Source organism: Homo sapiens, chromosome 3 (genome assembly GCF_000001405.40).
Source record: "Homo sapiens chromosome 3, GRCh38.p14 Primary Assembly".
Taxonomy (NCBI): domain Eukaryota; kingdom Metazoa; phylum Chordata; class Mammalia; order Primates; family Hominidae; genus Homo; species Homo sapiens.
In genome coordinates, this window is record NC_000003.12 from 127,859,682 (window position 1) to 127,873,504 (window position 13,823).

At 40.8% G+C, this 13,823-nt stretch overlaps 1 long non-coding RNA gene across 3 annotated transcripts in view; it reads right to left on the minus strand.

Annotated features, from left to right (window-relative positions):
- LOC107986129 (uncharacterized) overlaps positions 1-13,823 on the minus strand; it is a 90,956-nt gene that overhangs the window by 27,387 nt on the left and 49,746 nt on the right. The window lies entirely within an intron of this gene.

Here is a 13,823-nt window from a genome sequence, read left to right on the forward strand (position 1 = left end):
GAGAATCACTTGAACCCATAGGCGGAGGTTGTGGTGAGCCGAGATTGTACCACTGCACACCAGCCTGGGCAGCAGAGCAAGACTCCATCTCGAAAAAAAAAAGAAGAAAAGAAAAGTGCAAGATGAAGAGTATACCCGGAAAATGAATCCAAGGACATAAATATTCATAGAAAATGACTGGAAGGAAATCCACTGAAACGTTAACAGTGGGTGTTCTAGGCAGTGAAGTCATGGATAATTATTTCTTCCTTTCTAGTTTTTAATGCTTCCCAATTTTCTATTATAAGTATGTATTATTTTTATAATTGACAAAATAAGCACTATTTTTTTTAAACTGAATGTAATTGCCAAGTGTACGGCAATATTCCTGTCAACGGGTTGCCAAATTTTCTTCCCGGCAGGGAAGCCTGTTTGAAAAACAGTAAAAACCAGAGGTGTTCTTGCAGAATATGGGTTCCGAAAAAAAGGAATCTGAAGATGCATGGGTGAGAATGAAGAGACGGTGTCATTTTATCATTGAGGAAACAGGAGGGCTCCCCCACGCCTGCCAAGCCAACAGCCTGTCAAGACTGGCCACAGTGGGGTGGGTCCCGCCCAGCGACCAAACACCCAGCAGCATTGACAGGGGACCCACCCTGGCCCATGCTTAACACGTGCTAATGAGCTGCTATTTTCCATATAGATCAGACTTCTGGTTCCTATATTCCTAACCTCGCATACCTCTTCAACCCCCATGCTGTGTGCCATTCCCAGCAGGTGGCTTTCTGCTTGCTTCAGAGGGGGTTTCCCCTGGAAGGTTAATGATATGTTTCCCGTGGATGTTAGTGGATAGTCTCACTGCTTAGGAGAATAAATGCATGCCTGAGATGCAGCTATCACCACACAAGACTCCCCAGACAGACACGGCTGTGACATTTCAGCCCCTCCCTCTTTTCTGCAGTCCCTGCCCCAACAGTTTGAGCTCCTGCTTCATGCAAGGTGCTCTGGAATAGCTGAATAGGCAAAGGCTGCAGCAGCCCTCACAGAGCTCACAGCCGGTGAGAGACGAGATGTGTCCAGAAAAGGAGACTCCATGAAACAAACAGTGAGAGCCATAAGAAAGGTCAAGGTTGAGTGTTTTGTGAAAGAGAGATTAATCTGGAAAGAGGTGATGAGGAGTTTAAATAGAGGGAGTGACAGTTGAGGTGTACCTCAAAGGATTGGAGAATTTGTTCATGGTAAGATGGGAAGAAAAATCAAAAGTATTCCAACCCACTCTCCAAAAAGCAGCATGAACAAAACCATAATTTTCTATGACTTTTCAGGATCCAAGGTATTACTCACCTGCACACTGGTCTGCATCAAGCATACCTATGAGTTATTACACTAGGCCACGATCCCCCGTTAGAGCAAGTAAAACTCCCCATCTCCATCTAAAGTGCTCTAATAAGGAACCAACAAAAAGGGTCTGGAACCTCAACCTTGGTCATCACATGAGTGGTGCAAATTGAAATTACACTAGGAAACCAATGTATTCTGTGATGAGGCTGTGGGGAGACAGGCACACTCAGATATCGCTGGTGTGAATGCAGAATGCTACTACCCACCATGGAGGGGAGTTTGGCAATATCTGGCCAAATCATACAGCCTTTGAGCAGAGGTATCACCTCTAGGAAAAGCTGCGTGTAACCTGTATCTTGTTTAATTTTACAAAAATGACTAGGAGATTTTAAAATTTAAAAAACCATGTAGGAGATCTTCTTGGAAACAAAACATTATTTTACATTGAAAATAATTATTTTTTGCTTTCTTTCATTTCACATTTGAAAATTTTTTCAATACCTTTGTCTCATTAAAGTAAAGCATAGTAATGAAACAGACCCTGGTCACAGACAGTCCTCAGAAGCTGACCCTGTCAGATAAGAGGCAATGTGACCCACAGCACAGGAGAGACATAGGAAGGTAACATTTGTACTATTAATGACTTTGAGGTTCAAATCAAGATCCCGCACCCTCAAACAGGTCTCTATTTCTCATCAGTGGGCACCTCATTTACACATCTTTTGGGGTCATATCTCAGATTAATCATTTTGGTCTCAGTGTACAATAGTTTAACATAGAGCCACATCCCAATAGAGCGGAAGAACTGCCGAAACCATCTGGTCCAATTCCCCCTCACTTTATAGTGAAATAAAACCAAGTGATATTTAAGTGAATTACTTAACATTACACAGCTAGTGAAAGGCAAGGCTCAGGCTCAGGTCTAAGTTTCTTAATTCCAAGTTCAGTGTCCTTCCTATGATGCCATACAGTCAGCTATCATAAAAAACCTTTTCCCCTTCATCAACAGTAGCTTGCATCTTTTGAGACAAAGGTATAAATAAAAGTTAGTTTAAAACACTTTAACATTGCTGTTATTTTATGTTTTTTATAAGAAGGCAGGGACCTTCATCTCTGTTGTAATGGATATAGCCCAAAAGCCTAGAAGAGAACAGTGTCCTTGTACATAGTAGATGTTCGATAAATGTTTGAATAAATATTTATTGAATAAATGAATATACTAAGTGGTATGAGTGGATCCATAGAGAAGAAAATGTAATTCTGATGTTTCTCAACTATCAGATTGGCAAAAATCTGAAAAATAACAAATAATTGAGTATTGTGCAGTGGTGCTATCATAGTTCACTGCAGCCTCAAACTCCTGGGCTCAAGCAATCCTCCCACCTCAGTCTTCCAAGTAGCTGGGACCACAAGCATGCACTGCCATGCTTGGATAATTGCCCAGATAATTTATTTGATTTTTTGTAGAGGTGGAGTCTCACTATGTTGCCCAGGCTGGCCTTGAATTCCTAGCCTCAAGTGATCCTCCTGCCTTGGCAATTATTTCTTTAGGATAAATTCCTGAAGGTAAAATTGTTGCATAAAGGGTCTGTATAGTTTTTAAGGTTTTTTTTTTTTTTAAATGAAGTTTCGTTCTTGTTGCCCAGGCTGGAGTGCAATGGTGCGACCTTGGCTCACCACAAAACCTCCACCTCCCGGGTTCAAAAGATTCTCCTGCCTCAGCCTCCCAAGTAGCTGGGATTACAGGCATGTGCCACTACGCCCAGTACAGATGGGGTTTTCCATGTTGGTCAGGCTGGTCTCGAACTCCCGACCTCAGGTGATTTGCCCGCCTCAGCCTTCCAAAGTGCTGGGATTACAGGCATGAGCCATTGTGCCTGGCCTTTTTAAGGTTCTGATACAATGAACTGCCAAATTGTCTCCCCACAAAATATTGTGCTACTGGCTGGGCTCGATGGCTCACGCCTGTAATCTCAGCACTTTGAGAGGCCGAGGGGGGCAGATCACCTGAGGTCAGGAGTTTGAGACCAGCCTCATTGATATGATGAAACCCCATCTGTACTAAAAATACAAAAATTAGCTGGGTGTGGTGGTGGGCGCCTATAATCTCAGCTATTCAGGAGGCTGAGACAGGAGAATCGCTTGAACCCGGGAGGCGGAGGTTGCAGTGAGCCGAGATGGCGCCACTGCACTCCAGCCTGGGCAACAAGATCGAAATTCTGTCTCAAAACGACAAAAACAATAAAAAATTTGTGCTACTTTATAGTGCCCATTGCCTGAAACTTCACCTACCTTGTGTTTTATCCAATTTTTTAAAATTTTATGGAAAAAGCAAAACAGACCTGGTATTTCACAGGTATTTTTAAATATGCATTTATCTTCAAGTAAAAGAAAGTATTTTTGTTCCTTCTTTTTGTGACTGATCTGTTCTTTCATTTTCTCTCTCTCTTTTTTTTTTTTTTTTTGAGACAGGGTCTTGCTCTGTCGCCCAGGCTGGAGTGCAGTGGTGCCACCTCGGCTCACTGTAACCTCCACCTCCTGGGTTCAAGTGATTCTTGAACCTCAGCCTCCCAAATAGCTGGGATTACATGCGCATGCCACAGCACCTGGCTAATTTTTTTTTTTTTTTTTTTTTCTGTGGAGACAGGGTTTCACCATGTTGCCCAGGCTGGTCTCGAACTCCTAAGCTTAGGTGATCGACCTGCTTCAGCCTTCCAAAGTTCTGGGATTACAAGCATAAGCCACCGTGCCCGGCCTATTCCTTCATTTTCTTACTGAACTGTAGAAGTTATTCACATATGGAAGATATTAGTTGTCAATTTTATATATGATGCAAAGCTTTCCCAGTCCATATTTAATTTTAATCATTTTTCTGGTGGTTTTTCACATACAAACGTTTAAAATTTCAAGTAGTCAATTTTAACACCATTTTATTTTTCTTCTTCTTCATATGATAAAGCATCATATGGTAAAGTCCTTTCCCTACTCAGAAACTGCTTATAATTTCTTCTTTTTATTTTTTCTTTTATTTCCCCTTTTTAACCTCTTATAATTTTAAAATATTAAGGGTTTCTTGTGTTATATATTTTAAGATACTATCTTTTTTTAATATCTAGACTTTTTTCTAAAATAATTTATTAAATAATCCCGTTGATTTCACGTGACATACCTTATGTACACCCAATTCCCATATAAACATAGGTTGGTTTACGGACTCCATTCTGTTCCAGTGAATTAGTTGCCCATTCTTCCTTCAGTAGCACATTGTTTTAACTTCTGTGGAGGCATTTTAATGTTTCAGTGTTTGATGGAACAAGTCACCTCTCTTCACTGTTGTCAATTTCAAAAAAAAAAAAGACCCCAAAACTATTGATTCTCTGCTATGAAATATGAAATTATATTCTTACACTTGTTTTCTTCACCAGCATTTTTATTAGCTGTATTTAATTTCTATTTTGTCAAGTTTTATAATATTTACACTTAATTCAATAAACATTCTCCAGTTGCTTAATTTTTTGTTTTTGTTTTTGTTTTTTTGACGGAGTCTTGCTCTGTCATCCAGACTGGAGTGCAATGGTGCTATCCCGGCTCACTGCAACCTCCACCTCCTGGGTTCATGTGATTCTCCTGCCTCAGCCTCACAAGTAGCTGGGACTACAGGCACGTGCCACCACACCCGGCTAATTTTTGTATTTTTAGCAGAGACAGGGTTTCGCCATTGTTGGCCAGGCTGGTCTCAAACTCCTGACCTCAAGTGATCTGCCTGCCTTGGCCTCCCAAAGTGCTGGGATTACAGGTGTGAGCCACTGTACCCAGCCCAGTTGCTTAGTTTTTGTGGTGTTCATATGAGTTTACTATTTCTGTGATTATATGACATAACTATGGCCTTCTTTTTAAATTGTATTTTATCCACTATTATTAATGAAAAAATTTAATCTCATCATTGGTTCTATTTATAGTCAAGTCATTTTTTAAACAAGTGCCATATGCGATATTTCTTAAATTCTTCCATGTTTGAGTATGACTTCCTGTTTCCTTTCTATTGAAGAACTCTTTGGCTGGCTATAATTACTTGAATCTCACTTTCTGCCCCTCAGAACATTACCAGCATTACTCTACTGCAGTGTTTACTGGCATTGAATGCTGCTGTAGAGAAATCCAAGGCTGATTTTTGTCCCTTATAAATTACTTGTTTATCTACCTGAATGCCTGAAGAATTCTGTCTTTAGTCTTAAAGTTTAGTAGCTTAACCAGGTTAAAGGTATTGATTGTTCTGTGTAATCTGCCCCCAAACACTGTGTACCCCTTTAAACGAGTTTTATTTTTCCCCCATTACAGGGATCTTTTACTCATTTTTATATGTGAATATTGTTTCTGGTCAATGTCTTGGGTTCCGTATTTGCAGAACTCTAATTATCTTTATGTGGTTATCCCTTCAAATCTGTCATCTTTTCCTTAATTGCTTTAGTCTCCTGGTATTTCTCCTCTGCAATTACTGTGATTTTCTGAAATCTTTTCTCTATCAGCATTTTCCCCAGCCATGTATGTTTGATTTCTTGCTCTTCCTACGTTATTTATTAATCTCTGTGTTTGAAGTTTCTTTATTGTTCCTTTTCTCTGCTGCTTTCTTTCTCATCTCTGCTTGTTCTAGCATTAAGCTAGTTTATTCAGTTCATATACTTCTTTTTAGTTCTTTCATATCATGAAACACACTTGGAAGTTTACTTCTGTTTTTTAGATTATATTTTCATCCAGATTGGGTTCTTTGTTATTTCTATGCAATACTGTATGCATTTTTGTTGTTATGGGCTTTCATATTTGCATGCCATTTCTTTTTATCTTACACATGCTTCTGATGGTTCCCATCTGCCCGGATCTCCTTTTTGCTCTGCTCTTGCATGGAGAAGTATCTCCTTGATATTTTGTCCACTTGATCTGACACTCATTTGTCTTCCCCCTGAGCCCCAATATGTAGAGTAAGAGTTGCCTTTTACTAAATTTCATGTGACTTGAGGGCATGGGGGTAGGGGTGGGGGCAGTGTTGAGCCAGCTGGGGGCTGGACCCTGCTGTCTGTTCTGAGCACTCATCACTGTCACGTCTGGAACACCCACCCTCACAGGGTGTGCTTCACTCCTATGGGCTGTGAGTCATTCGCTCCACATAGCAAAGAATCCTAGAAAGTCCTTCTGGCCTCTTCTACGACCTGGTGGTGATACATGAGATTTTCCATTCGCAAAGCTTTCCTTCTTTCTCCCCAGAGCTGCATTATTCACACTGTCCACCCATTCTCCTTCAAATGGGAAGGTCTTTGTGAGAATGTTCTATATTTCCTTGTGTGGGAGTACGTGAAGAGGAGCATATTTATTAGCTTAAAATTCCTTTCAGGGGTCTCAGCAAAATACCTTAGTGGACTATTTGATATGTTGAAAGTCAGATTTCAGGGCCTATCCCAGATTAGTGAAAAAAGAAACTATGAAATAAGAAGGAGCATTGGGGATTGCAGCAAACTAAAGAAGAGATGGGAAAAATATTCAAAGTAGACAAGAGGGGGCCCAGCTATGTGGCCAGAGATTGGGTATCAAATGTAAAAAATGAGGCCGGGCACGGTGGCTCACGCCTGTAATCCTAGCACTTTGGGAGGCCTAGGTGGGAGGATCATTTGAGCTTAGGAGTTCAAGACTAGCCTGGGCAACATGGCAAAACTGTGTCTCTACTAAAAATACAAAATATTAGCCGGGCATGGTGGTGTGTACTTGTAATCCCAGCTACTCAGGAGGCTGATGTGGGAGGATCACTTGAACCTGGGGGCGGAGGTTGCAGTGAGTCAAGATCACGTCACTGCACTCCTGCAGGGGTGACAGCGAGACCCTGTCTCAAAAAAAGAAGAAAAAAGGCAATAAAAGCTCCACGGAAGTATGTTTATGATTCAATGTGCTATGCTGCAATATTAAACTGCCCCGCTGCTTAACATTTTCAAAGAGTCTCTGAATTGGACCTTGAATCAGTGGTCCTTGGAAAAGTGAAATAATCATGCTGGTTTTATGAGTATTGCCCTAAGAAAAAGAAGCAGTGTGGACAAAGCAAAGAAAGCAAAATCTAGATCTGTGTTCTAGAACACAGACAAAAGATCAGTGGAAGCAGGGACTTAAAAAGTCGGGAATGACCAAGAGAATTCTAAGTCCTGCTCCCTTACTACACCCTGGAAATACTGGCTGGGAGAAGTGAGATTTTAAGGTTTCTCACCAGCCAATTGGAAGACATTGACATGTAGTTACAAATGATTACTAACAACGTTTTCAAGATTTCCTTGAAATAACAGCCTCAGCCACACCCACATTTTCTTAGTTTTTATATATGGAATTGTATTAGTGCTCCCTAAATTAGTAATGCGAGATTTTGACTAGAAGACTTCTAAAGACATTTTATATGTAAATATTAGAAGCAACTATGATTCCTTGGGGAATTTTGCATTTTTTTTTTTTTTTACTGAGGTAAATTTTACGTACAGTGAAATGTGTGCAGATCTTAGTGAGCAATTCAATGCATTTTGACTAATATCTATACCCATGTAACCAACACTCAATCAAGGTACAGAATGTCTTGATCACCCCAGGAATTCACTTGTGCCCACTTCCAGTCAACCCTCCCACTCCAAGCAACCACTTTTCTGATACTGTTACTATAGATTATTCTGCCTGTTCTAGAACTTCATATACATGGAATCATACAACGTGTACTCTTTTGTGTCTAGCTTCTTTTGCTAAACATGGTATTTTTGAGATTCACAATATCAGTAGTTTGTTGTATATGTCGGTAGTTTGTTCCTTTCTGTTACTGATTAGTCGTCTATTGTATGGACTGCTGCAAATTGTCTATTCTATTGCTGGACATTTGCGTTGTTTCAAGTTTTTTACTATTTTGTGTGTGTCTTATTGTGAACATATATTTTTGTTTCACTTGGGCAAAACCTACAAGTGGAATCTCTGGGTAGGTATATATTTAACTTTTAGGAAACCATCAGTTTTCCAAAGTGGTTATGCCATTTGATGGTACAAGACATTTATGACATTTATGTGGAGCAACTAGAGCTCTCACAAAACATTTATGAGAGTTCTAGTTGCTGCACATCCTTGTAAACATGGTTTTGTAGGTCTTTTTTATATTAGTCATTCTGTTGGGTGTAGGATGGAGCCTTATTGTGGTTTCAAACTGCATTTCTCTGGCAACTAATGATGTGAGTGAGCATTTCCTCATGGGCTTGTTGGTCATTTGTATTTACTCTTTTTGAAGTGTCTAAGCCTTTTGCCTATTTTTCAAAATTGGGTCCCAGTGTCACTTGTTGAAAAATTCATTGACTACTTGTGAGTCTATTTCTGGACTTTGGTCTATTCCAATAATCTATTTGTTCATGCCTATGCCAATACCATGCTGTCTCCTGATTACTTAGCTTTCTAGGAGATCCTGACATCAGACTGTGTGAGTCTTTCAGCTTTGGGAGGCTGAGGTAGGCGCATTACCTGAGGCTAGGAGTTTGAGACCAGCCTGGCCAACATGGCAAAATCCCATCTTTACTAAAAACACAAAATATTAGCTGGGCATGGAGGTGCACATTTATAATCCCAGCTACTCGGGAGACTGAAGCACGAGAATCGCTTGAACCCAGGAAGCAGAGGTTGCAGTGAGCTGAGATTGCACCACCCACTCCAGCCTAAGCAACAGAGTGAGACTCTGTCTCAAAGAAAAAAAAAAGCATTCACTAATTCTAGCTTTAGAATTCATTCATTTTTGCCAAAAGAGTCTACTGGCCTTTGATTGGAATCAGATTAAATCTATAGATCAATCTGGGGAGAACTGACATTTTAACTTGCATCAAGTCTCCCAACTCATAAGTATATTTTTCCATTTATGTGGATCTTTAATTTCTCCCAGCAATGTTTTATATGCAAATGAATTTTTATACATATAAACTGTGAGTAATTTATATGCAAATAGTTAATAAAACTATGATTATATGATTTTTTTAAAAGTCTGCAGTTCTAAATGAACTGATAAAAGACCTCGCATGAAGGGGGAGAAGCACTCAGTAAACAATGTATTAATAACGGGCACTGGACACTCAGAATCCTCAAGTACTGTCATAATAATGAGTTCAGTTTTAAGTGCAGTAGAAGCCATTAGTGAAGAAAAATGATATTAGACACAAAGTTTAGTCGGAATGCAGTCTTACATCCTATCCAGTCTTAAATCCAAAGACTTGTTCCAGGGCTCCCCACCTGCACTACTCCAACGTCTTTCTTCTTTGTCCATCAAGGCTGTCCTGTTGCTTCCAACTGACTGCCACTGCCTGGGCTCAGGTGCCCCTTGGCTTGTTCCTGAACCACTGAAACAATGTCCTAACTGACCTCTGTGCCTCAGTCTGTCAGCTGCCAATTTATCGCACATGCTTGACTTCAAAGTTACTTTTTAAACCTGCAAATTTAATATATGTTTGTTTGTTATTTCTGTTAAATAAAAATGGTTCAGATATCCCTTCTTTGGGTTATTACTTGTTTTTGTTTAATGTGGCATGGCAAATATATTCTCCATATATCCATGGTTATCAGTTATCTGTTAAATTAGAAATGATTAATCCCCCATTAATTAAAATTTAAAGCATGTGCTTCAAATAATTTGTTTAAAATATCTGAATCATCACTCAGATTTCTGATTCAGTTATAAAATTATTAGAAGAAAATATGTTAATTCAAAGAGTGCATAAAACATACTACATCTTCTGCTCTGTGAAGCGCACCCATTAACTTGCCGTGAAACCAAGCCACTAGACTGTACCTGCTGCACAACAAACAGCAAATTGAGTCTCCTTGATGAATGCTTTGAGTTGAGTCTCCCCGACTGTGAAATAAATCATGATTTAAAATGTGATCAGCCCTGACTTGATGTAAATAAATCCATACTACTAGAAGCCATGTTCTCAAAGATGGATAGTTTGCCATCGTGTAAATGACCTTAAGAGAAGACCTCCACGTAATTTTCAAAATATAAATAAGCAACAAGAAACCTCTACTCAAGAGAACTACAGCTTTTTGCCTCAAAGTGGTATATCCGTTTTATTTTCATTACCGATGACCCTACGATCCATTCTACAAATCTGACATAATTATGTTAAGAAAAAAAATACAAAATGATGTGGTGTGTTGCTGCTTTTCTGCCTGCCAAATTGGAAGTGAAGAAAGAGTCGTTATGCCGCTTCGCTCCACTGCTGCATTCCAGCAGTTCAGATCGACAAAACAGCATCCATCATGCTTTGCATTACAATTTTCCTTTTCCATTTCCCCCCAGCTCATCATAACATAATTATGTTCCATTTTTTTCTAGCCAGGGGCTGGTATTTTCTTTTATACAGGACAACAGCTGCAAAGCTCAACCTTGATGCCTCCTTAAAATGGTGAAATGTGTTTGCCTTTGTTCCAGTCTTGGTAATTTCAATTTTCACACTCCTGCTTGGCAGATTTTCTTGCTGCCAAAAAATGCATTCAGCCCTGAAACTTTCATAGGGATGTGCAAAGGAGGTAGCTTCCAGGGTACTTAGTACTTGTCTGTACTGTAATTTATCCTTGAGCCAACTTGTTTTGGAAATGTGTTGAGAAGACTAATGCTGCTCTCATTCTTTTTATAGCTTCATAATTGCTAAAGGAGAATTGTCTTTGTGTCGAACCAATCTGAACATTTTTATTCTTCTCTCTATTCGTGTCTACTCATGGATACTCTCATCATCGCTTTCTGAGAGTTGGGAACATTGGGCCAAAATCTTGTCAATAAAAATCCTATGCTTCATGGCAAAAATTTTAAGATGTTAAACAAATGTTAATAATAACTAACAGTTTTGGGGCATTACTCTGTGATAAAAATGTTCTAAGTAATTTGATGAGTTACCTAATGTATTCCTCACGAAAACCATGAGGTAGGTGCTACCATGACCCTCATTTTTCAGTGGAGAGAAAGGAGACTAAGAGGGTTTGAGAAATTTCCTTGAGAGGCCACAGAGATAGTGCTGAGCTGGGAGTTAGATTCAGGCAGCTGGAGCCCACACCACTTCCTATCTTGCCTCCCCCTGTGGTCATCGTCAGCTCCCAAATTCTCAGGGGGCCCAGATTTACCCCATTCCAGCCCTGCCAGGAGAAGTCAGGGCTCATGCCTCAAAAAGTAGCATGTCAGTATGAAAACCCGACAGGATGCAGATGTCTCACATCGTGTATACTGGATGCCTTGCTGGAGGCTTTCAGCTTCATTACGTGGATTTTCGACTGCCATGGTCTCGGCCGCCCCCTATTAACCTGAGCATTCACAAGTTTCCTTTCCTCTTCCGATCCATGGGATACTGAAGAGCAGACGCAGAGGTTCGCAGGTCACCCGTGGCTGAAGGCCTCAGGTGCCATGTCGGGAATCCGGCTGTGCTGAGGCGGCCATGCTGGAGAGGCCACGCATGGAGATGCAGGAGAGAGACACAGAGAGATGCCTGGGGAGTCCCAGCTGTTCCATCTCCCCAGTCAGGGTGCCAGATGTGACTAAAGAACCTTTCAAGTTAACCCCAGCCCCAGGCAGCCACGGGTTACAACCTCATAAGAAACCCTAAGCAAGGACTGCTCAGCTGATCCTGTTAACTCCAGACTCACAGTCAAAATCAACTTTTGCTACTTTTCAAACCACTGTTTCAGGGTGATTTGTTACTGAAACACCATTAAGACAACAGCAGAGAACATTTGAGCAAATACACCTTAAGGGCTCATATTTTTGCACGAGATTTTTGCAGAAGGACCCACCATTGTGACGTATGTGTAATGTCTGTTGTGTGGATGCTGTGGGTGCATGTGGGTAGGTATTGTTTGTTACCTGTTTGAGTTGTATCCTGTAGACCAGGTCTTACTTGAAGGATAACACAATTTATTGAGTCAGTTACAGAAGTTCTGCCTGTCACCCATGGACTGAGAAAAGTCTGTCAATTCAGAAAGAAGACCAAGTAGAAAGGTCTTAGAGAGGCAGATAAATAAGAATCACTGTCTTGGCCAGGCTCAACATGGGAGTCTCATTTTGTTTAACCTGGGAAACCTGAGAAACATAGTGAGACCCCATTTCTACCAAAAAAAAAAAAAAGCCAGGTATCTCACACCTGTAGTCCCAGCTACTCAGGAGGCTGAAGCAGGAGGATCACCTGAGCCCAGGAGTTCAAGGCTGTAGTGGGCTACAGTTGCACAACTGCACTCCAGCCTGGGCAACAGAGTGAGACCCTGTCTCAAAAAAAAAACGACAAAAAAATTCCAAATTATGCTTTTATGCTTTCTGTTAACTGCAGCCAATAGAATCTAATGATACATTTTTCATAATACATTTTTTTTTGAGACAGAATCTCTCTCTGTTGCTCAGGCTAGAGTGCAGTGACATGATCTCAGCTCACTGCAACCTCCGCCTCCAGGGTTCAAGCAATTCTCCTGCCTCAGCCTCCAGAGTACTTGGGATTACAGGCGCCCACTACCACGTTTGGCTAATTTTTGTATTTTTAGTAGAGACAGGGTTTCATCATGTTGGTCAGACTGGTCTCGAACTCCTGACCTCAGGTGATCCACCTGCCTTAGCCTCCCAAAGTGCTGGGATTACAGGCATGAGCCACCACACCTGGCCACATTTTATATATATATTCACCCTAAGTATACTCAGACTTAGTGGTTTTGGATACTGTGATTCAAATAAATTTGCAGAAGTTAGTGCAAACATAAGTTAGGAACTTTGTATTATAGTTTTTACCAAATAAACTCCAGCTGTGGTATTATCACAGGCATGGAACTGGCATGTTAAGCTGCATGCTGCTGGCCTAGATGAGCTGTCACTATTTGTTTCTGACCCTCCATTCATTCATTTGTCAAGCAAATATTGGATGAGCACCTATTATGAGCAAGGCACTGTTCTAGGCTTTGAGGATATAAGACTGAATGGCATGAACACAAATCCCTGCCCTCACAAGATAATCCACTTCTTATTGATTTGCTCTATGCTCACCGACGACTCTGGATTTCTAATTCAGTTTCTTAGTGTTTGTTGAGAGCAAAACTAGGGTGTCAGGCCCTGAGAAGGCATGGACCCCATTGGAGATTACTGATTTACACAAAAGGCTCTGGGCAGTTTGATTCACGTGGCTTGGCCCAGGAGACTCTGTGTGCATTGGTAACATTCTACCATGGAGCCTTCAGAGCCCAGGAGCAGCCTTGCCCCCGGGAGACCATGACAACAAAACATCTCTTGCACATCCTGACCTTGATCAGCTTTAGTTGGCGTTATTATGAAAACCCAAATTCAGGGAAAATTGACCAATACTGGGACCTTGGCTTAGCACGTGTGCTTATTGATGCTTACATAAATGATTAGATTGTCTGCCATCACTGCTCCAATCCAGAACTTGGCCTGGAATTAGACACTACTTGAATAGGATGAGAGAAATGGTCTCAAAGGA